The 24,505-nt window shown below is 44.1% G+C and overlaps 1 long non-coding RNA gene across 4 annotated transcripts in view, besides 4 other annotated features; it reads right to left on the bottom strand.

Moving 5' to 3' along the window:
• LOC105374329 (uncharacterized) overlaps window positions 1-3,024 on the bottom strand; it is a 59,127-nt gene extending 56,103 nt beyond the window's left edge. For 3 of the 4 annotated variants that reach the window (XR_001739340.3, XR_939839.4, XR_939838.4), the window contains exons 1-2: window positions 2,660-3,024; window positions 2,176-2,290 (exon numbers count right to left, since the gene is read on the bottom strand). This is a non-coding gene — a long non-coding RNA (uncharacterized LOC105374329). Of the gene's footprint in view, window positions 1-2,175; window positions 2,291-2,520 lie in introns of all 4 variants that reach the window. The other variant, XR_939840.4, reaches the window with a different exon arrangement.
• Window positions 3,678-4,184: an enhancer, noted in NCBI's record as "H3K27ac-H3K4me1 hESC enhancer chr2:24625737-24626243 (GRCh37/hg19 assembly coordinates)". NCBI's record gives its function as "activates a minimal SCP1, AML or CMV promoter by ChIP-STARR-seq in naive H9 embryonic stem cells {active_cell/tissue: H9 hESC(naive)}" and the evidence as "EXISTENCE:reporter gene assay evidence [ECO:0000049][PMID:30033119]".
• Window positions 4,185-4,691: an enhancer, noted in NCBI's record as "H3K27ac-H3K4me1 hESC enhancer chr2:24625230-24625736 (GRCh37/hg19 assembly coordinates)". NCBI's record gives its function as "activates a minimal SCP1, AML or CMV promoter by ChIP-STARR-seq in naive H9 embryonic stem cells {active_cell/tissue: H9 hESC(naive)}" and the evidence as "EXISTENCE:reporter gene assay evidence [ECO:0000049][PMID:30033119]".
• Window positions 6,391-6,891: an enhancer, noted in NCBI's record as "H3K4me1 hESC enhancer chr2:24623030-24623530 (GRCh37/hg19 assembly coordinates)". NCBI's record gives its function as "activates a minimal SCP1, AML or CMV promoter by ChIP-STARR-seq in naive H9 embryonic stem cells {active_cell/tissue: H9 hESC(naive)}" and the evidence as "EXISTENCE:reporter gene assay evidence [ECO:0000049][PMID:30033119]".
• Window positions 7,298-7,592: an enhancer, noted in NCBI's record as "tiled region #9937; HepG2 Activating DNase matched - State 2:TssF, and K562 Activating non-DNase unmatched - State 10:DNaseD". NCBI's record gives its function as "activates a minimal TATA promoter and a strong SV40 promoter by Sharpr-MPRA in HepG2 and K562 cells {active_cell/tissue: HepG2 | K562}" and the evidence as "EXISTENCE:reporter gene assay evidence [ECO:0000049][PMID:27701403]".

Raw genomic sequence — 24,505 nt, 5'->3', positions numbered from 1 at the left:
GGCCGAGGCGGGTGGATCACGAGGTCAGGAGTTTGAGACCAGCCTGACCAACATGCTGAAACCCCGTCTCTACTAAAAACAAAAAAAATTAGCTGGGCATGGTGGTGTGCGCCTGTAATCCCAGCTGCTCAGAAGGCTGAGGCAGGAGAATCTCCTGAACCCGGGAGGCGGAGGATGTAGTGAGCAGAGATCAAGCCACTGCACTCCAGCCTGGGCGACAGAGCAAGACTCTGTCTCAAAAACAAACAAAACAAAACAAAAATTACACACATCTAAGTTCCAATCCAAGAATTCTGATTCAGTGCATCAAGTGTGGGGTGCCTTTGGCCAAACACTATGTTTTCAGGGTATACATTTCTCCTAATCCCTTCTTCCATCAATTCTGCTTTGTTAACAGGGAAAAAGTCGGTCATGGCTATTGGTTAGGCTGCCAAGATCTGTTCAATATTATACGGTTAAATTTGGATTTTTAAACTAATGAGGAAAAAATACTTGTGTTATTAAAGAGTGACCAGAGGAACTTTCTTCTCAAGTAGGAAAAAAAAATCCACTAACTATAAAGAAAATGATAAATTAAGCCACATTAAAATTAATAACTTTGGCTTGGCCCGGTGGCTCACGCCTGTAATCTCAGCCCTTTGGGAGGCCTAGGCAGGCAGATCACGAGGTTAGGAAATGGACACCATCCTGGCTAACACGGTGAGACCCCGTCTCTACTAAAAATACAAAATAAAATTAGCCAGGCATGGTGGCACTTGCCTGTAATCCCAGCTACTTGGGAGGCTGAGGTAGGAAAATTGCTTGAACCCGGGAGGTGGAGGTTGCAGTGAGCCAAGATCGCATCACTGCACTCCAGCCTGGGCGACAGAGCAAGACTCCATCTCAAAAAAAAATTAATTAATTAAATTAATAACTTCTGTCCATCACAAAACACCATGAAGAAGGTAGAAAGGTAAGCCATGGAATGGAAAATTATAGTTATATCAAATATTCTTGAGAAAGAACTTTAAAGAACTCTTACAAATTAATTTTAATTATTTGTATTTATTTATTTATTTTTGAGACAGGGTCTCACTCTATCGCCCAGGCTGGAGTGCAGTGGCTTGGTCTCAGCTCACTAACCTCCGCCTCCTGGGTTCAAGCAATTCTCCCACCTCAGCCTCCCAAGTAGCTGGAATCACAGGCATATGCCACCACACAGGCTGGGCGCGGTGGCTCACACCTGTAATCCTACCACTTTGGGAGGCCAAGGCAGGCAGATCATTTGAGGTCAGGAGTTTGAGACCAGCCTGGCCAAAATGGCGAAACCCCATCTCTGCTAAAAATACAAAAATTAGGCCCGGCGTGGTGACTCACATCTCTAATCCCAGCATTTTGGGAGGCCAAGGGGGGTGGATCACAAGGTCAGTTCAAGACCAGCCTGGCCAAGATGGTGAAACCCCGTCTCTAGTAAAAATACAAAAAATTAGCTGGCCATGGTGGCGGGGGCCTGTAATCCCAGCTACTCAGGAGGCTGAAGCAGAGAATTGCTTGAACCCAGGAGGCGGAGGTTGCAGTGAGCCGAGATTGCACCACTGCACTCCAGCCTGGGCGACAGACCGAGACTCTATCTCAAAAACAAACAAACGACAATTAGCCAGGTGTGGTGTCATGCACCTGTAGTCCCAGCTACTCGGGAGGCTGAGGCAGGAGAATCGCTTGAACCCAGGAGGTGGAGATTACAGTGAGCTGAGATGGTACCACTGCACTCCAGCCTGGGTGACAGAGCAAGACTCTGTCTCAAGAAAAAGAAAAAATTATGATTCTGCTGGGTATGGTGACATGTACCTATAGTACCAGCTATTCAGGAGGCTGAACAGGAGAATCACTTGAATCCAGGAGTTTGAGTCCAGCCTGGGCAACATAGTGAGACTCTGTCTCTAAACAAATAAATAAATAATTCCCTTGCCATCAACATTTTTAAACAAGAGATGTCTTCCCTGTGTGAATATTAAACTTTTAAATTAGTATGAATGTTAGATATTATAAACTATGTTTTACGTAAGTGGGGGAAGTTTAAAAAGCGGCTACTGTTAAGAGAGGGCATTGTTAATGCATTAACCAGGAATAGACTACGTTATGTTACAATAACAATCCCCCAATTGTATTGCTTTAACCTATTTATTTTCCACTCACACAAAGTTGGCTGCAGGTACTGTGGTCCTTCCAGACAGCTCCCTTCCAAGCATGAGTCACATCCAGGCCAGTTCGTTCCCTCTTCTGGTTATGCCATCTCCACATTTGGCCTCGGCTGTCATTGCGGCAAGAAAAGAGAGAGGAATCAAGAATGATAAAGTGCTCTTCTCTTTGTGCTTTGTCCCAGAAGTGACACATGTCATTTCCACTCACGGCTCATTTGTCAAAACGAGTCGCATAGGCCCTCCTAACTGCAAGGGAGCTGGGGAGTCTTGGGAGCACATGGATATTCAATGACTAATAAATTACAATAAATTATATCCCTCCAGCTGTAATTGAACTTACAATGAACTCCTCGAAGTTTTTCAACTAAAAGTTATTTCCAAAACAATATAAAACCATGGTGTGATCGCCAGTATTTGAAGAAGCAGACCCTCTGCTCTCTCCCCGCTACAGCAGTTAATTTTTTAAGAAGTTCTGATACCTTCAAAACATAAAACACAGCATGGGACTTTTCTTCAACAGCTTCCTTACATTTAAAAGGAAAGAATTGGATTTAATGATTTCTAACGTCACTGAAGAGCCCTTTAAATTACTGTTCAACTACCAAAAACAGTCGTTTTTTAAGTAGAGCCATTTTTTTCAGGATTCTGGGTTTTTAAACCCAAACTGTATTTATGCACTAGAAGTTCCAGTCTCTTGAAAAAAACATTTTATAAGTAAGTTGCAGATGTGGGCAAATTTTATGCATCTGCTTTATATCACATAGAATTTCTCAAACTCCTGGCCTCAAATGATCCTCTTGCTTCAGCCTTCCAAAGAATTCCAGGTGTGTCCGGAATTGGTGGGTTCTTGGTCTCACTGACTTCAAGAATGAATCCGCGGACCCTCACGGTTGAGTGTTACAGTTCTTAAAGATAGTGTGTCTGGAATTTGTTCCTTCCGATGTTTGAACATGTCCAGAGTTTTTTCCTTCTGGCAGGCTCCTGGTCTCACTAGCTTCAGGAGTGAAACTGCAGACCTCCGCAGTGAGTGTTACAGCTCTTTAAAGCACCACGGACCCAACTACTTAGCAGCAGCAAAATTTATTGCAAAGAGCAAAGGAACAAAACCTCCACAAAAGACAAGGTAACCCAACTAGGTTGCCTTGCCGGTTCCAGCAGCCTGCTTTTATTCCCTTATTTGGCTGCACCCACATCCTGTTGATTGGTCCATTTTACAGAGAGCTGATTGGCCCATTTTACAGAGAGCTGATTGGTCCGTTTTGACAGAGTACTGATTGGTCTGTTTATAATCCCTGAGCTAGACACAGAGTGCTGATTGGTGCATTTACAATCCTCTAGCTAGACATAAAAGTTCTCCAAGACCCCCACCTCACTCAGGAGCCCAGCTGGCTTCCCCTAGTGGATCTCTCATCAGGGCCACCGGTGGAGCTGCCTGCCAGTCCTGCCACCTGCGCACACTCCTCAGCCCCCTGGGTGGTGGATGGCACCAAACGCTGTGGAGCAGGGGGTGGTGCCCCCCGGGAAAGCTCGGGCCGCGCGGGAGCCCACGGTGGCGTGTGGGGGGGTGGTGAAGGGAGGCCTGGGGGCGGTGGTGGAGGGAGGCCTGGGGGGTGGTGGAGTGGTGGAGGGGGGGTGAGGGGGCTGGGGGGAGGGCGGGCGGGGGGAGGCGAGACGGGGGGGGGGCGAGCGCGGGGGGCGGGGGGCGAGGCGCGGGGGAAAGGCGGGCGGGGGGCGAGGCGCGGGCAGAGCGGACTACGGATTCTGAGCCCTGCCCTGCGGGGAGGCGGCTGAGGCCTGGCGAGAATTCAAGTGGGATGCGGGCAGGCCGGCAGTGCTGGGGGACCTGGCTCACCCTCCGCAGCTGCTGGCTCGGGTGCTAAGCCCCTCACTCCCCGGCGCTGGCGGCCCTGGCCGGCGGCTCAGAGTGCGGAGTCCGCTGAGCCCATGCCCACCGGGAACTCATGCTGGCCTGCGAGCGCGCACACAGCCGCCGTTCTCGCCCGCGCCTCTCCCTCCGCACCTCCCCGCAAGCAGAGGGAGCCCGCTCCGGCCTCGACCAGCCCAGAGAAGGGTCCCCACAGTGCAGCGGCAGGCTGAAGGGCTCCTCAAGCGCAGCCAGAGTGGACACCAAGGCCAAGGAGGCACTGAGAGCGAGCAAGGGCTGCTAGTACATTGTCACCTCTCACAGGCATGGGCCACCACGCCCAGCCCCATCACACAATATTTCTATCCCAGGATGTTTATTTTGTAGGCAACATAAGTTAAAGAATGGAAGCACTGTTCCTTCGGTACAAGGTCAGGGTGTGAGCTCAGTTTATTTACAAATTAACGTGTGCTTACATCATTAAAGCTTTGCTCTAAACCTGTAACTTAGTGTGAGTTCTAGAGAATTTTGGTAAATTTGTTAGTAATGTTTTCTGTGTTCTGTTTATTGGCAAGAGATTGAGGGATAAGTGGTAATAATCTCTAACCTTGTGGTTGCAAAATTATATCCTACAAGGTCTAACTGGGTAACATAAATGATGTGGGAGTTGTGGAGATCATCAAGAATAGAAAGAGCTGGCCAGGCTCGGTGGCTCGCACCTGTAATCCCGCACTTTAAGAGGCCAAGGCAGGCGGATCACTTGAGGTCAGGAGTTTGAGACCACCCCGGACAACATGGCGAAACCCCATCTCTATTAAAAATACAAAAAGTAGCCAGGCGTGGTAGCGCCTAGCTACTCGGGAGGCTGAGGCGGGAGAGTTTCTTGAAGCCAGGAGGCGGAGGCTGCAGTGAGCCGAGACTGTGCCACTACACTTCAGCCTGGGCAAAAGAGCAAGACTCTGTCTCAAAACAAACAAAAAAATCAGATCATGTCTTTTGCAGCAACATGGATGAAGCTGCAGTGGAGGCCATAAGCAAACTAAGGCAAGAACAGAAAACCAAACACCACATGTTCTCACTCAGACGTGGGAGCAAAACACTGAGTACACGCGGACACATAGAGGGGAACAACAGACACTGGGGCCTGCTAGAAGGGTGGAGGGTGGGAAGAGGATGAGGACTGAAAAACTACCTATCTGTTGTATGGTTATTACCCGGGTGACAAAGTCTGTACACCAAACCCCCCGTTACATACAATTTACCTACATAACAAACCTGCACGTGGACCCTTGAACCTAAAAGTTTTTTTTTTAATTAAAAAAAGAAAAGGTAGGAGAGAGGGGAGGGGTGGTTAAGAATGAAGTGAGAAAAGTGAAGAAGGGAAGGGGGATGACAGCTGAGAATGGAAGTGACAAGGGTGTGTTGGGGAGGTAAAAAGCCTCTAGCTTTCCTCCTACCCTTTCCTTCCCACTTTCAGCCAAGTAATTTCTCCCTTATGCTCAATGAGAGAGAGAAACTAGGGAAGCGAAGGCTGTTGGCTAGATGAAAGTGAAAATTAAAACAGAAACAAGGCTCTTTGAGAAGTCAAGGACTGAAAATAAAAGGGGCAAAGATTAAAAACAATAGTAATAGTATCTAGGAGCACTTACCACATAGCAGGCAATATTCTAAGAGTTTCCCATATACATGTGCTCGTTTAATCCTCACAACCACTTGTTTAGTAAGGAATTTGACCTCCAAAGTGAGGTCTGGCTTTTGTCTTAGTTCAGGGGGGTCATTTCTAGACCCTTGAGATTTTTTGTTTTGTTTTTTGTTTTTGAGACAGGGTCTTACTCTGTTGCCCAGGTTGGGAATGCAGTGGTGTGATCTCAGCTCACTGCAACCTCCACCTGCCAGGTTCAAACGATCCTCCCACTTCACCCTCCCAAGTAGCTGGGACTACATGTCATGCCACCACGCTCAGCTAATGTTGGTATTTTTTTGTACAGACAGGGTTTCGCTGTGTCACCTGGGCTAGTCTCAAACTCTTGGACTCAAGCGATCTGCCCGCCTCGGCCTCCCAAAGTGCTGGGATTACCGGCATGAGCCACTGCACCTGGCCAACTCTTTGAGATTTTTTTTTTTTCCAGGTGTGGGAATGTTTTTGTTATTCATGACAAGCACCTTGGACCACACCTGATAGTTATCAGTAACAAGGCCGTTACAAGATAGTTTATGTTAACAAGATGATTCAAGGTGGGGCTGGCCACGAGAGAAGACCAAGTGATTAGAAGACTGGGGCTTTCTCGTCTGGGAAGTGAGGAGCGTCTCTCCTCGGCCGCCACCCCGTCTGGGAAGTGAGGAGCGCCTCTGCCCGGCCACTGTGCAACCTTCCAAGTGCGAAGTGACAGCCTTGCGTGTGATCTTTTCTGTCTTCCCCAAGTTTGCATTTTCGACATTCAAGTTTACTTTTTAGTTAAAAGTTAAAAAAAAAAAAGACTGGGGTTTTGGGCCACGTCACTTCACCCTGACTTCCAGGCAGGGGAGGGAGACTGGCAGTTGGGTTCAGCCACGTGGACAATAATTCAATCAATTGTGCCTATTGTACGAAGCCCTAATAAAAATTCTGGACATAAGAGCTGGGTGAGTTTCCTTCTCAGTATCGTCCCCTTTGTTGATGGGAGGGGAACACAGCATGGGGATGACAGCAGCTCTGCATTTGGATTCCTGCCAGACTTCCACATACGCATTCTCTTCCTCTGGCTGGTTCTAATTTGTATCCTTTACCTGTAATAAATGTGACAGTGAGTATAATCGCTCTCTGAGTTCTGTGAGTCTTTCTAGTGAATTACCGAACCTGAGGGTGGTCATGGGCACCTCTGAATTTGTAGCCCGTTGGTCTGTACTGAGGGTGGCCTTGGGGCCCTTCAAACTTGCAGCTGGTGTTTGAAGAGCAGTCTTTGAAGGACTGTGCCCTCTGACTGTGCAGTTTGCTGAACTCCTCTGCAAGCACTATAAGAGATTTTTAGGATGAGGGAATAGACACAAAGAGGTTAGATAATTTGCCTGAAGTCATACAGCTGGTGAGTGGAAAAGCCAGGATTCGGACACAGGCATTGCAACCATCATATGATATTGAATCAGCTACAGTGTCTGGGATAAATACCCAGGGTTCATCATCTCACACCAAGAGAAGTTAGGACACAAACGCACATGAGGAATTTAGGAGTGGAGGTTTAAAAGGCAAAAGAAAGAAAGAGAAAGGAAAACAGCTCACTCTCTAGTGAGAGAGAGAGGACTTTGGAGAGGAAAAGGCTGGCAGTGGATGTGCCAGATTTTATAGTCAGGCTTGAGGATGCGGTGTCTGATTTACATAGCACTCGCAGATTGGCTTGATCAGGTATGATGTTTACATAGGGCAAGGAGAAGGCTGGCAGACCCACTCTAATCATACTATGCAAATGAACTTTCCCCTTGGCCAGCGCCATCTTGTCTGCTTCTTCCTGTGCATGTGGCTGTCAGAGAAGGGAAGATGGAGCCGCCATTTTTAACATGCTTGGCATAACTGCCAGCGTCTACGTGTGCAGCTCAATTTTACAGGCTGCTGTTAGAAAGGAAAATTATTTGGGGCTGCTTTTCATTAAAAGGAAAACCTTACCAAGGAGTTCTGTGCCCTCACTATCTGCCTAAGTAATTTCTTCTTAACTCCTGTATCAATATTACTGCTTGATCAACTTTGCAGTAGGGAAAAATACCTAACTTAGCTATTCCACAGTGTGTACATATATCAAAACATCATGGTGTACATTTTATATATATATATAAAATATATATACACAATTTTTACTTGCCAATTAAAAATGTTTTAAAAGAATACCTAATAGCACCTTAGGCTTGTTTAGAACTGTTTTTCAAACATACTGTGGCTCACAGTATGAAATCCTGTATTTTCCATGACCACTCATTAAACATAACCTCTCCCATACACACACTCCAGAAATAAAAATATGATGCACCCTGATATTTTCTTTTTTCTTTTTTTTTTTTTTTGTTGTTTTAAGATGGAGTCTCGCTCTGTCGCTAGGCTGGAGTGCAGTGGCACAATCTCAGCTCACTGCAACCTCCACCTCCTTGGTTCAAGCAATTCTCCTGCCTCAGCCTCCCGAGTAGCTGGGACTACAGGCATGTGCCACCACGCCCAGCTAATTTTTGTATTTTTAGTAGAGATGGGGTTTCACCATGTTGGCCAGGATGGTCTCGATCTCTCGACCTCGTGATCTGCCTGCCGCGGCCTCACAAAGTTCTGGGATTACAGGCGTGAGCCACGGTGCCAGGACCACTCTGATATTTTCTATTCCCAATTACTTGTATTTTCAAAATGCTAGAAACCTACCAAATTTATTTCCTATTCACTTAAGAATTTTGCACCAACAATGTGGTGTAGACAGTAAACCACATTTAGAAATGCTGGCTTAGAAATTTGCTTTAAAATGGTACTTTCCAATTATGCCTTTAAGTAAGAATAATCTGGGGAATTTTTCAAGAAAAATCCAAAACCCAGGTCCCACCAACAGAGATTTTGACTCATTTAATCTGGGATGGGGGTTGGACATCAATATTTTATGTTATTTAAGTCTCTGAGCGATTCTAATGTACAGCCAGGAGCTAAGAGCCACTATTTTAAAATATTATCTGCTTCAAAATCTTAAGCAAATGTTTTAAAGAATAAAGACATTCTTTTATTTAAAAGTGAAAGCACATGATGAAAATACGTGGCTAAAACTAGTGACCTAAATCCTTTGCAGCTCACTTTCGTTGGCTGTGATATCTGGGGTAGCATTTTGTCTAAACTGCAAGGGCAATTTTTTGAGTAGTCAGAAATAAACGTGATAACTAACTTTGTAAGTTTAAAGACATAACATTTTGGTGACCTTTCTTTTCACTTAAAAGTAATTTTATTATTAAGAAGATAAATATTATATATATAAAATATATATAATATATACTCCAGAAAATGAGATTAAAAAAGCATAGATACCTGTGTGTCTATCACTCAATTAAGAAAATAAGGTTATAATCTGACATTCATATGACTAAAAAAAAGAAAGAAAATAAGGACTATTATCATCATCTGTGTGGCCTTCTCTGTTTGCATTTCCTTTGTTTATTAGAAATAAACCCAAGGCCAGGCACGATGGCTCACGCCTATAATCCCAACACTTTGGGATGCCAAGGCATGCGGATTGTCTGAGCTCAGGAATTCAAGGCCAGCCTGGACAACATGATGAAAACCTGTCTCTACAAAAAATACAAAAATTAGCTAGGCATGGTGGCGCACACCTATAGTCCCAGCTACTCATGAAGCTGAGAGGTGGGAAGATCACTTGAGCCTGGGAGGTGGAGGTTGTAGTGAGTTGAGATCCTGCCACTGCACTCCAGCCCGGGTGACAGAACCAGACCCTGTCCCAGGAAAAAAGAAAAAAAAAAGAAAGAAAAAGAAATAAATCCTATCCTAAATATTGTGTTATCTTGCAATTCTTAGAGGTTTAACAAGTTTGTATACTTACATCATTTAGATGCATGCTTTTGGGTTTTAATTTAATGGAATCATATTCCATGCATTGTGTGCCTTGCATTTTTTTCATTCAGAAAATTCAAAATTATCTTTCTGAGATTCATCCACGTTGTCGTAACTGCTTTATTTTCACTGTTGTATAGTATTCCATTCTATAGATATGCGGCAATCTATCCATTCCATTGCTGCTGGGCATTTGTGCTGCTTCTAATGTGATGCTATCATAAATTGTACAGCTTTGATTGGATTGGTCCATGTCCCCTGATGCACATGTTTGAGGGTTTCTTTAGGACTTGTACCTGTAAGTAGGAACATCCGGTTATATGACACACACCTCTTCAACTTTACTAGCCAATGCCAAATTATTTCTCAAAGTTATTGTGTCACCCACCAGCAGATAATTATAATTTGCATTGCTCCACATTGTCAACACTCAATATTATCAGATTTTATTTTTGCCAGCCTGGTGAGTGTAAAATTGTATCTTGATGTATCATTTCCTTGAGGTTAATGAGGCTGAATATTTTTCCCTGTATTTATTGTCTCATTGGGTTTTCTCTTCTGTAAAGTCCTTGTTCTAGTCTTTGCCCTTTTATCTACTGGGTTTTCATTTTCATAACTACTTATATGTCAACCTATCACATTCTCTTAAAACAAAATATGCCACAGTAAGATGATCTTCAAATATAAGTCCACCCCCCAACCAAAAGTAATTTGTATGGAATTCCATAAAGTTTTTAGGTTATCATTTCTAAATACACAGAATAGGTAAGTTTAAAACAGGATATTAAAAATTACCCAAACAACCCACAGATAGCCAGAGGTTCCTGCTTTTTTCCATTTCAAATCTCCCTTGATACCGAGCTACATTACTCTAGGGAGTAATGTGGAATCACATGCAAGGCTCTGTGTTCACAGTGGGACAGAAACAAGGCTAGAGAAGAAAAGCTTCTGACAAAGCCAAATATTGTGGATGAAAACAGAGGAATACGATCGGAAAGCAATTTGTCAAGTGGAGTATTCTCCATGCACCTGCTTTCCTGCCAGACAGGATAAAGATTGTTACTAAAGCTAGACAAATGAGTAACACAAATAAAAAATAGAATTATCACAATGCAAATAACTATGACTTCAGTTGTATAGTTCAATAAAAGTGTTATTAAAAATCCTTGCAGTAGCGTTTATGAATATAGACAAGCTGATTCTAAAATTTATAGAAAAGGCAAAGCAACAAAATAGCTAAAACAATTTTTTTTTTTGAGACAGAGTTTCACTCTTGTTGCCCAGGCTGGAGTGCAGTAGCGCAATCTCGGCTCACTGCAACCTCTGCCTCCTGGGTTCAAGCGATTCTCCTGCCTCAGCCTCCTGAGTAGCTGGGATTACAAGCACCCGCCACCACGCCTGGCTACTTTTTGTATTTTTAGTAGAGATGGGGTTTTGTCACATTGGCCAGTCTGGTCTCAAACTCCTGACCTCAAGTGATCCACCTGCCTCCGCCTCCCAAAGTGCTGGGATTACAGGCATGAGCCACCGCGCCAGGCCAACAATTTTAAAACAGAAGAATAAAGTTGAAGGAATCATATTACCCATGTTTAAGACTCAGTATAAAGCTATAGTAATCAGGCCGGGCGTGGTGGCTCACGCCTGTAATCCCAGAACTTTGGGAGGCCAAGGCGGGTGGATCACAAGGTCAGGAGATCGAGACCATCCTGGCTAACACGGGGAAACCCCGTCTCTACTAAAAAATACAAAAAATTAGCCTGGCATGGTGGCAGGTGCCTGTAGTCCCAGCTACTTGGGAGGCTGAGGCAGGAGAATGGCATGAACCTGGGAGGCAGAGCTTGCAGTGAGCTGAGATTGTGCCACTGCACTCCAGCCTGGGCGACAGAGCGAAAACTCTGTCTCAAAAAAAAAAAAAAAAAAAAAAAAGCTATGGTAATCAAAATTGCTACCATGAATTCAGTCCTGAGTTCTAAGATAGAGGGATTTTAATAAAAGGCAGCTTTTTAATTATTTATTTATTCAATTATTTATAATACATTGCTCCCCCCTTGTTCCAAATTAAAAGATTTGAGTCACCCTATCAAAATAAATACAGTATCGAATGAATAACATACAAGTGAAAACGTAAGGGTAAAACAAACAAAGGAAGTCTAAAATTCACTTAAAACATATACAAGGCCAGGCACAATGGCTCACACCTGTCATCCCAGCACCTTGGGAGGCTGAGGCAGGAGGATCACTTGAGCCGAAGAATTTGAGACTGGCCTGGACAACACAGTGAGACCCCATTTCTACCAAAATAATTTTTGTTTAATTAGCTGGGTGTGGTGGTGCATTCCTGTAGTCCCAGCTACTTGGGGGGCTGAGGCAGGAGGATCACTTGAGCCTGACAGGTTGAGGCTGCAGTGACCCCTTATCACGCCACTGCACTCCAGCCTGGGTGACAGAGTAAGACCCTGTCTCAATTAAACACACACACACACACACACACACACACACACGCACTATCCAAACATACATACAAACTGTAAGACCCTCTCTACCCTCTGGAAATACAATGCAAATTTAGCTAAGAGCTTTCTAGCAGCCGGCTCAAAGAAAGAAGCAAAGTTGGTTGCATGTCCACAGTATTCATAAAAAAGCAGAAGCATAGGAGAAAATGTAATTTTCTGATCCTGTGAATTGAGAAAAATTTCTTCCAGTGTAGAAGAACATACCCGTGTGGGTGCAGTGAGGGTGTGAAATGTCAACAGCATTGGAGCCAGCAGCTTCAGCAATGACAAGAAATAGCATCCATCTGGCAGGGGGCAGTGGCACACACCTGTAATCCCAGCACTTTGGGAGGTCAAGGCAGGAATATTCCTTGAGGACAGGTGTTCAAGACCAGCCTGGTCAACTTGGCGAAACCCCGTCTCTATTAAAAATACAAAAAAATTAGCCAGGCATGGTGATGCGCTTCTATAGTCTCAGCTACTTGAGAGGCTGAGGCAGGAGAATTGCTTGAACCTGGGAGGTGGAGGTCGCAGTGAGCTGAGATGGTGCTGCTGCACTCCAGTCTGGGCAAAGAGTGAGACTGTCTCCAAAAAAATAAAAAAAGAAAGAAAAGAAAAAAAGAAGTACCATCACTAGCACAAACATCAACAATTTGACCCCAAGTACCCACAGCCTTTAGACAAATCAGTGAGAGCCAACAGCAGACAGGGGTGTGGCCTTCAACTGGCCTCTGAAGAAAGAAGAGCAAGATCAGAAACTTCAAGGCAATCAAAGGAAGAAAGTCACAGAACATTGGTGAGATACTGCTTATGTTGCCGAAACACCAGGGGTGCGGTCTAGGTCCTGCTGCTCGTGACACAGAAAGCCAATCACTAAGATGCCGAGTACTGCCAAGGAAGAAGGCTTTAACCTGGTGCTGCAGCCGAGGACACAGCAGCTCAATCTCAAATCCATCTCCCTGACCGACTAAAACTAGGGGTTTATATAGGAGGGAAGAAATGTAACAATGTGCAAGAAATCCAGAACTAGGGAGGGACACGGAAGCAATTATGATGAATGAGCGGTCCAGCATCTCACTGTTAGGATGTGGTGATCTGGTGAGTTTTAGTTCTTTGACACTTTTTTTGAGAGGCCTGAAGGTTCTTTCCTGAGGAAGGAACTCAGATAAAACACGCCTGTAATCCCAGCACTTTGGGAGGCCAAGGCGGGCGGATTGCCTGAGCTCAGGAGTTCAAGAGCAGCCTGGGCAACAATGGTGAAAACCTGTCTCTACCAAAAAAAAAAAAAAAAAAAGTATAAAAATTAGCCAGGAGTGGTGGCATGCACCTATGGTCCCTCTCAGCTATTTGGGAGGCTGAAGTGGGATGATGGCTTGATCCCAGGAGGCAGAGGTTGCAGTGAGCTGAGATCGTGCCCCTGCACTCCAGCCTGAGCACAGAACCAGATTCTGTCTCAAAAAAAAAAAAAAAAAAAAAGAAAAAAAAGAAAGAAAAAGAAAGTAGAGTCAAATACTTATGCATAGGGATAGTGGAGAAAAGGATATTCAATAATTAAACGCATCAGATTGAGCATATGACACTTATTTCTGTTGCCTCCAGAAACTCTGCTAAAATGAGAATAAAATTTTTGAAATGAATAAACATAGTAAAGGGGGAACGTGAACAGCAACATAGCAGTTAGAGTTCTGGCAGGAAACAGATTGGCATGCTCAAAGGAGAAATGAAGAAAATTTAATGAGGAAACTATTTACAGAGGTGTGGGCAGGATTAAGAGAACCAAAAAGAGATGCTAAAGTACCCAGGCACTAGCAACACTGGGAAGCTGTCACCATCCCTAGGCCTCAAGGGGCAAGTGGAAAGAATAATTACTGTAACCTGGTAAGAACTCCAGGCATAGGAGAAAGTCACCCTAGGGGAGCCATGGAGTTAGGTACAAGTTTTCTGCCACTACCAACACAGCAGCCTCCAGGGAAGAGGCACATAAAAAGGGGGCACAGCAATGGCAATAAATGCGCTTACATCTATTATTCTATCCCCTCCCACTCTGCATTCTTCTTCCAGTCACTCCAGTTAGCTGAATCGAACTGGATGCCAAAAATCAAAGGAGTGCAAGTCCATAGGTGTTATCTTCTCAGGATACGGAGCGGGGCAGAAAAATATGGCTAATGGATGTGGAGGGACAAAACACAGAACGAACACAGGTGCAGACAAGCAATGTCAGCAGATTTCTGGAAGATAGAAATTACTAGTGTTACTCAAATTATGAAAGCTTAAAACCAAGAGTATGCTAATGAGAAGAAAACTGATATTGCCAGAGGATCTTGGACATGCTCAGAATTTGGAGGCACCAGGTATCTCTAAAGGCAGAAATTCATGTTACAGATGAAAAGAGAAGGATCCATTGAAAAACCTTACATGGCTCACTCAGACCCCTAGAACTCCATTTTTCTTTTCTTTTCTTTTTTTTTTTTTTTTTTTTTTTTGAGACAGAGTCTTACTTTGTTGCCTACCCAGGCTAGAGTACAGTGGTGTGATCTCAGCTCACTGCAACCTCTGCCTCCCAGGTTCAAGCGATTCTCCTGCCTCAGCCTCCTGTGTAGCTGGGACTACAGGTGTGCACCACAACACCTGGCTAATTTTTTATATTTTTGGCAGGGACAGGGTTTTGCCATGTTGGCCAGGCTGGTCTCGAACTCCTGACCTCAAGTGATCCACCTGCCGCAGCCTCCCAAAGTGCTGGGATTACAGGCACGAACCACCGGCCCCGGCCAGAACTCCTTTTTCAAAGACAGATGGACCTTCTTTCCCACTCCAGCAGAAGACTGACTGTGTGTTAAGAAACTTACAGCATCTAAACATAGGGATACCAGGCATAGCTGAAGGCAATAGGAATTATCAACATTCAGAGGGGTATCACCATTATATTGCTAAGTTTAAGGTTGAACTAGTAATTATTACATAGAAAACTGCTAAAACAACCCACAGGGCAATTATTAATTCTAATATGAATAAAAATTTATCTTATCAGTATTATATTACTTGGCTTAACATTGAGCAAGTGTTATATAGTGAGATAATATAAACAGTATAAATATTGATATAAACAAAAATGTACTACAAATATATTGGGAGTATGAAGAGAGGGAAGGAGGTTTTAAGTGTGCTAAATTTTGTGACTCCATAATAGAACGTCAATAGATAACATATAAATAAAAATATGAGAGGTCAAGCATGGTGGTTCATGCCTGTAATCCCAACACTTTGGAAGGCCGAGGCAGGAGGATCACCTGAGCCCAGGAGTTAGAAACCAGCCTGTTCAACATAGTGAGACCCTGTCTTTACAAAAGAAAAATTAAAAATTAGCTAGGCATAGTGGTGCACAATTGCAGTCCCAGCTACTCAGGAGGTTGAGGTGGGAAGATCACTTGAACCCAGGAGTTCAAGGCCGCAGTGAACCATGATCACGCCACTGCCCTCCAGCCTGTGCAACAGAGAGTGATCCTGTCTCAAAAAAAAAAGTGTGTGTGTATATATGAATATACATATATATGTACATATGAAAATTATGTGTGTATATCTATATATATGAATATTTTTAGAAATATTTTTAGAAAAGTAGATGTAAATAGAAGAAACAGCTGAAAGAATTAAAAGTTTTTCTTCCTGAGGGGCAGGTTTCAGGGTGGAAATGGTGGTATAGTGTTCTACTATTGTCATTACAAGCTTTGTCATTGTGTTAGACTTTTTAAAATTATGTGTATATCTCACTTTGACAAAAATTATTATTATTATTTTTTAGAGACAGGGTCTCACCCAGGCTGGAGGGCAATGGCATGATCATGGCTCACTGCAACTTTGACCTCCTAGGCTCAAGGGGTCCTCCTCCCTCAGCCTCCCAAGTAGCTGGGATCACAGGTGCATGCCACCATATCCAGCGAATTTCTTATTTTTTGTAGAGATGATGTCTGTCTACATTGCCCAGGCTGGTCTCAAACTCCTGGGCCCAAGTGATTTTCCTGCCTCCACCTACCAAAGTGCTGGGATTACAGGCATGAGCCACTGCACCCAACTGGCAAAACTAAAATTGACATTTAAACAAAAGAAGAAAGGGATATATGTATTGCCTACTTAAAACAACAAACAAACAAACCCTTTTGGAGAAATGTGACAGAATCCAAAACTTCTACAAGGTATCTTTTACAATATCCAAGGTACAATCTGAAATTACTAGACATAAAAATGAAATGTGACCCCAGTACTCAAGAGTCTGATGCTGACATGCATCAAATGTTGAGTTATAACAAAGACTTTAAAGCAGCTATTAAAATTGTGCCAAACAGAGTACATATATAAAGGAAAATATTACTCATAATTAATGAAAGAAAATACAAGCAGAGAAATAAAAACTATAGTAACCAAATGTAAATTATACAATTGAAAAGTTTAATATCTGAAATTTAAAGCTTTACTGGACAGGCTTAGAAGCAGATTGAAGGTGACAGGAGAAAAAAGTCAGAAAACTTGATGAGAAATCAATAAAAATTACTCAATCTAAGTAACAGACAGAAAATGGATGGGAGAGGGCGGGAATGAATAGACTCTCAGGAAACTGAGGGGAAATAGCAAAAGAGCTAAAATATGTGTAACTGGAGTCTCAGAAGTAAGGAAGAGAATATGGGACAGAAAAATTATTTTGAAGAAAAAGAGGTTGAAATTTTCTAAATAGGTTGAAAGATAAATTTATAGATTTAAGAAGCTAAGTAACCCTCTCCCCACCAAAAAAAAAAATATGAAGAAAACCATACCTGCACACAGTATAGTCAAAATGCTGAAAACCAAAGATAAAGAGAAAATCTTGAAAGCCAGAGAAAACAACTCACTATATGCAGGGAATGATGATACAAATGAATGCTGTTTCTTCTTATAAATAATAGATATCAGAAGACAGTGAAACAATATCTTCAAGTATAGGATCAGAAAAAAGTAAATCAATCCAGAATTCTATAGCCAGCAAAACATCCTTTAAGAATGAAGGCAGCCGGGTGTGGTAGCTCACGCCTGTAACCCAGCACTTTAGGAGGCCGAGGCAGGTGGATCACCTGAGGTCAGGAGTTTGAGACCAGCCTGGCCAACATGGTGAAACCCCGTCTATACTAAAAATATAAAAATTAGCTGGGCATGGTGGCAGGTGCCTGTAATCCCAGCTACTCGGGAGGCTGAGGCAGGAGAATCACTTGAACCCGGGAGACAGAGGTTTCAGTGAGCCAAGATAGCGCCACTGCAGTCCAGCCTGAGCGACACAGCAAGACTCCGTCTCAAAAAAAAAAAAAAAAAGAAGGCAAAATGAAAAGAAAAGGAGGGGAACATCACTAATCATTAGGGGATTGCAAATCAAAACTACAGTGAGATACCACTTCACACTATTAGGATGGCTACTCTAAACAAAACAAACTCCAGGATTGGACATAGTGGCTCAAGCCAGTAATCCTAGCATTTTGGGAGGCTGCAGCAGGCAGATCCCTTGAGCTCAGGAGTTTGAGACCAGCCTGAACAACATGGCTAAACTCCATCTCATTTTTAAAACTATATAAATAAATAAACTCCAGAAAATAGCAAGCATTGTCGAGGATGTGGAGAAATTGGAATCCTTGTGCACTGTTGGTGGGAATGTGAAATGGTGAAGCTGCTGCAGAAAACAGTTACGGTGGTTCCTCAAAAATTAAAAATGGGGCTGGGCACGGTGGCTCATGCCTGTAATGCCAACACTTTGGGAGGCTGAGGTGGGCCGATCACTTGAGGCCAGGAGTTCAAGTCCAGCCTGGCCAACATGGCAAAACCCCATCTCTACCAAAAATACAAAAATTAGCTGGGCATGATGGCACATGCCTATAATCCCAGCTACTCGGGAGGCTGAGGCACAAGAATTTCTTGAACCTGGGAGGTGGAGGTTGCAGTGAGCCAAGATCATGCCACTGTACTCCAGCCTTGGTGATAGAGCAAGACTCCATCTCAAAAAAAAATTAAAAATTAAAAATGTAATTTGCATATGATTCATCAATTTCACTTTTGGGTATATTCTCAAAAGAATTGAAAGTAGGGTCTTGGCCAGGCAAGGTGGCTCACACCTGTAATCGCAGCATTTTGGGAGGCCGAGGCAAGTGGATCATGAGGTCAGGTGTTCGAGACCAGCCTGGCCAACAGAGTGAAACCCAATCTTTACTAAAAATACAAAAATTAGCCGGGCATGGTGGCACGTGCCTGTAGTCCCGGCTACTTGGGAGGCTGAGGCAGGAGAATCGCTTGAACCCGGGAGGCAGAGGTTATGGTGAGCCGAGATCGCGCCATTGCACTCCAGCCTGGGCAACAGAGCGAGACTCCATCTCCAAAAAAAAAAAAAAAAAGAAAGTAGGGTCTTGAAGAGGTATTTGTACACCCATGTTCATGCCAGCATTATTCACAATAGCTCTAAGGTGGAAGCAACTCAAGTTGCAGATAAATGGATAAGCAAAATGTTATGTATACATAAAATGGAATATTATTCAGCCTTAAAAAAGAAGGAAGTTCTGACACATGCTACAACACAGATAAAACTTGAAGACATTATGCTAATTAAGCCAGTCACAGAAAGACAAATATTGTATACTTCCATTTGTATGAGGTACTTAGCATAGTCAAAATCTTAGAAAGTAGAATCATGGTTGCTAGGAGCTGGTGGGAGGAGAAATGAGAGTTATTGTTTAGTGGATATAGAGTTTTTGCAACATGAAAAGAGTTCTGGTGATGGATGGTGGTGATGGTGAAACTGCCTTTGCAAAATTATGACAGTAAGAGAAATCTGACATGGCTGACTCCATCTTGCTTTTAGCCTCATAGGCTGGCTATCTTTGCATATTCCTGGGTGTAGGCCAAGCTAAGTTTGGGAGAAATTTAGTTTATAGCTTAAATGATAGTAGCCCTTCCCCCAAAACTAAACCTCCCTTGTAAAACTAATGAAAGACCACCAAGTTAGGAGGGTAAGAGGGTCCTGAATTCTGCTAAGTTATGTGCATAGTTAAATGATTACCAGCCATTACTCCGGAGGTCCCAAGATGTGTAACTTCCTCAATTACTCCTGTAAATATCATCACTATTGTGAACCTAAGATTGGCCTTTTGAGATATCTTTTCAGGTTTCTGCATTTCTTTTTTCTTTCTTTTGAGACAGAGTCGCACTCTGGCTAGAGTGGAGTGGCGTGATCTCAGTTCATTGTGACCTCCACCTCCTGGGTTCAAGCAATTCTTACATCTTACCCTCCTGAGTAGCTGGGATTACAGGCATGCACCAGCACGCCCAGCTAATTTTTGTGTTTTTAGTAGAGATGGGGTTTCACCATGTCGGCCAGGTTGGTCTCGAACTCCTGACCTCAAGTGATTCTCCTGCCTCAGCCTCCCAAAGTGCTGGAATTATACGTGTAATTCCTGCATGGCCAGGCTTTTGCATTTCTGGCTACTGGATGGCCCCACCCAGACCAGCGACACCTCTAGTGGTCCTCCCCCAGAAGCCGACTCATCACACCAGGACTGGACTGTTTTCCACACCCTGTGATGGCATCCCCAACCAATCAGAATGCCCCCTTCCCTAGCCCCCTGCTCACCAAACTCCTTGAAAAACCCTAGCCTCTGAGACTTCTGGGAGATTGATTTGACTAATAACTCTGTCTCGCTCATGGCATAGCTAGCCTTGCATCAGTTACATGCTTTCTTTACTGCAATGCCATGGTCTCAGTGGATTGATTTTGCCTGTGCAGCAGGCAGGAAGAACCCACTGGGTGATTACAATGGTTGCCCAATAATTGGAATGTACTTAATACTACTAAAAATACAAAAGTTAGCTAGGTGTGGTGGTGGGCACCTGTAATCCCAGCTACTCAGGAGACTGAAACAAGAGAATTGCTTAAACCTGGGAGGGGAAGGTTGCAGTGAGCCAAGATCATGCCCCTGCACTCCAGCCTGGGCAATAGAGTGAGAGGCCATCTCAAGAAAACAAAACAAAAAAACCCTACTGAACTGCACACTTTAAAACATTTAAGATGGTAAATTTTATGTTTGTGTAGTTTACCATAATAAAAACATTGGGAAAAAGAATGAAGGCAAATTAAGACACTTTGGTATGAACAAAAGCGAAGATAATTCATCACCAGGAGACTTACACAGGAATAGAAATAGAAATAGTAATGAACAGAGTTTAGAGGGATTTAGAGAGAAATAATAAATAGAGAGATAGAAAAAAAGAGACCAGGCCGGGCGCGGTGGCTCACTCCTGTATTTCCAGCACTTTGGGAGGCTGAGGTGGGCACTTGAGGCCAGGAGTTCAAGACTGTGGCCTAGGTTGCAGCCTTGACCTCCTGGGCTTAGGTGATTCTCCCCCCTCAGCCAGGAAAGTAGCTGGGACCACAGGCACATGCCACCATGCCCGGCTAATCTTTGTATTTAATTTTTGTATTTTTTTGTAGAGATGGAGTTTCACCATGTTGCCCACGCTGGTCTTGAACTCCTGGACTCAAGCAATCCACCCACCTCAGCGCCTCAAAGTGCTGGGGTTGCAGGCATAAGCCACTCCACTCGGCCCTATGACACATTCTAAGGCCCAGTTTGGGCTGATCCGAAAAGAGCAGCAAATGTCTTCCATGAACAACAGTGTTAAATAAAACTTATAGCCAGGTACAGTGAGCTTAAGAGCCCTTGGGCCTTAATAGCCTGGCAGTACTCCCCATGGGCCTGTGGTAGTAGTGGCCACTGGGTGAGACTCCTCCGACTGTGGAAAGGAGAGGAAAGAGTTGGAAAGACGGCATCTCATGGTTTGAAAGCCAGCTCAGCTGCAGTACAATAGAACATCAGGTAGGCTTCTAAGGATTTTTATTCCAGGTCCGGGCTCTTGGATGACACCTCTGGACCTGTCCAGGGCCTGGGGGAACTTGCCGTCCTGAAGGGAAGGACACAGGCCTGGCTGGACCTGCCACCTGCTGATTGTAGAACTCAAGGGCCTTGAGTGAACACAGGCAGTAGCCAAGTCGTAGTTACAGTGGGTCTTAGGTGAGACCCAGTTCTGTACTGGCTTCAGGTCCGACCCAGAGTAGTCCTAGTGGTAGTAGCCACAGGAGTGCTTGTGTCACCCCATCCTTAGCTCCAGGTGGCTCAGAACAGAGAGAGAGAGAGAGAGAGAGAGAGAGAGAGAGAGAGAGAGATTGACTCTGTCTCTTTGGGAGAAGGTAAGGGAAGAGAAGTGTCTGTGCTGGTAATCCAGAGAATTCTTCCAGATCTCATCCAAGAACATCAAGGCGGTACCTCTACGAGTCTGCAAGAGCCACAGCATTACTGGGTTTGGGGTGTCCCCTAAGGCAGCTTAGATTACAACACTCAAGTCCTTCTAAGTACCTAGAAAGCCTTTCCAAGAAGGACAGGTATAAACAAGCCCAGACTGTGAAAACTACAATAAATAATAGTTTTGGGCCCAGACACAAATGAACACCCATAAACATCAAGACCATCCAGGAAAATGTGACCTCCCCAAATGAACTAAATAAGGCATCAGGGACCAATTGTGGGATCTAAAAATCAACACAATTGAACTCATGGACATAGAGAGTAGAAGGATGGTTACCAGAGGCTGGAGGGTTGGTGGGCAGAGGGAAAGAGATGATGGTTAAGGGGTACAAAAATGTTTAGAAAGCGTAGGGCACAGTGGCTCATGCCTGTAATCCTAGCACTGGGAGGACGAGGAGGGTGGATCACCTGAGGTCAGGAGTTCAAGACCAGCCTGGCCAACATGGTGAAACCCTGTCTCTACTAAAAATACCAAAAAAAAAAAAAAAAAAAAAAATTAGCTGGTGTGGTGGCAGGTGCCTGTAATCCCAGCTACTTGGGAGGCTGAGGCAGGAGAATCGCTCAAACCTGGGAGGTGGAGATTGCAGTGAGCCGAGATCATGCCATTTGCAGTCTAGCCTGGACAAGAGTGAAACTCCATCTCAAAAAAAAAAAAAAGTTTAGAAAGAATAAATGAGCTAGAATTTGCTGGCACAACAGGATGACTATGGTAAAAAAAAAAAAAAAAATATATATATATATATATATTTCAACAGGGTCTCACTCTGTCACCCAGGCTGGAGTGGAGTGGTGTGTGATCATAGCTCACTGCAGCCTCTACCTCCTGGGCTCAAGTGATCCTCCCACCTTAGCTTCCCAAGTAGCTGGGACTACAGGCACACACCACCACATCCAGCTAATTGTGTTTATTTTTTTGTAGAGACGAGGTCTTGCTACGTTGCCCAGGCTGGTCTCGAGCTCCTGGGCTCAAGTGATCCTTCTGCCTTGGCCTCCCAAACTGCTAGGATTACAGGCATGAGCCCCTGCACCCAGCCCCAAAATAATTTAATTGTACATTTAAAAATAACTAAAAGAGGCTGGGCATGATGGCTTACGCCTGTAATCCCAGCACTTTGGAAGGCGGGTGTATGGCTTGAGGTCAGGAGTTTGAGACCAGACTTGCCAACGTGTCGAAACCCTGTCTCTACTAAAAATAGAAAAGTTAGCCAGGTGTGGTGGAGCATGCCTGTGATCCCAGCTACCCGGGAGACTGAGGCATGAGAATCACTTGAACCCAGGAGGCGGAGGTTGCAGGCAGCCCAGGCGACACAGTGAGACTCCATCTCAAAAAATAAAATAAAATCTAAAAAACTAAAAGAGTATAATTGGATTGTTTGTAACACAAAGGATAAAGGCTTGAGGTGACGAATACTTAATTTACCCTGATGTGATTATTATGCATTGCATGCCTGTATCAAAACATCTCATGTAGGCTGGGCACGGTCATCTTTTTAAAATAATAATTTTTAGGCCTGGTGCGGTGGCTCACGCCTGTAATCCCAGCACTTTGGGAGGCCCAGGCAGGTGGATCACTTGAGGCCAGCCTGGCCAACATGGCAAAGCCCTGTCTCTCCTAAAAACACATAAATTAGCCAGGCGTGGTGGCACTGCCCATAGTCCCAGCTACTTGGGAGGAGAGGTTGCAGTGAGCCAAGATCACGCCACTGCACTCCAGCCTGGGCAACATTCTCACTCATAGGTGGGAATTGAACAATGAGAACACATGGACACAGGAAGGGGAACATCACACTCCGGGGACTGTTGTGGGATGGGGGGAGGGGGGAGGGATAGCATCAGGAGATATACCTAATGTTAAATGACGAGTTAATGGGTGCAGCATACCAACATGGCACATGTATACATATGTAACAAACCTGCACATTGTGCACATGTACCCTAAAACTTAAAGTATAATAATAATAAAATTTAAAAAAATTCTCATGTAACCCAATATATACCTACTAAGTACCCACAACAATGAAAACATTTTAAAAATGGGAGAAATTTTTTTAAAAAGGAAAAAAAAAGAGACAAGCATTTTCTACATATTTGAGGATTTAGATTCACGGGATTGAATTGGGAAGAGTTTTTTGTTGTTTTTGTTTTTGTTTGAGACAGAGTCTCGCTCTGCCACCCAGGCTGGAATGCAGTGGTGCGATCTCAGCTCACTGCAACCTCTGCTTCCCAGGTTCGAGTGATTCTCCTGCCTTAGCCTCCCAAGTAGCTGGGATTACAGGTGCCCGCCAGTATGCCCAGATAATTTTTTGTATTTTTAGTAGAGACAGGGTTTCACAATGTTGGCCAGGCTGGTCTCAAACTCGTGACCTTGTGATTTGCCCGCTGGGTTCTGTTTTCAGAGTGAAAGACTAGCATCTTATGTTATCTTTCTATTGGGCTCATTAGATCTGTAACCCTGTCTGATGGGTTTGATTATAGCATCCTACAGCATAATTTTAAACAAGATATAGAAGGGAGAAATTCCTTCTCAAGTAGGGTACAGCAGTGGTTCTTAAACCTTAATGTGCATAAGAATTGCCTCACCTCCAGAAATGCCAATTCAGAAGGTTGTGGGGTGGGGCCCAGAATTCTTCATCTTAAACAAACTCTTCAGGATATTTTTATGCAGGTGGTCCACTTGGAAAAATACTTGGATTGTACTTGATAGAATGTCCTGACCTAGTTCTCTGGCTCCCTGGGTATTACATCAAAGGAACACTTGTAAAGGGGCAGAACTACCGATTTCATGAGTCCCAGGTGGAGAACAAGCAAAGACTGAAAAATAAACCGCATGAAGGTGCAGACAAGACATTTCTGGTACTCTGCAAAGCTCCCTGGAGAGAGAATGCAAAACCCTTGATTTCCTGACTTTAATAGTAAAACAACAAGCATCCCCCCACCCCACCCACCCTGCGCCATCCACACACACTTTGCCAGGACGTGCTGGATGCGCCCTCTAACCTCTAGGGGGAGCACAAGGATTTCCTCACACTAACGCCTTTGCTGTGGGAAAA

The sequence above is a fragment of the Homo sapiens genome, chromosome 2, assembly GCF_000001405.40.
Source record: "Homo sapiens chromosome 2, GRCh38.p14 Primary Assembly".
NCBI classification, from domain to species: Eukaryota; Metazoa; Chordata; class Mammalia; order Primates; family Hominidae; genus Homo; species Homo sapiens.
This window is presented reverse-complemented; position numbering and strand designations above follow the sequence as displayed.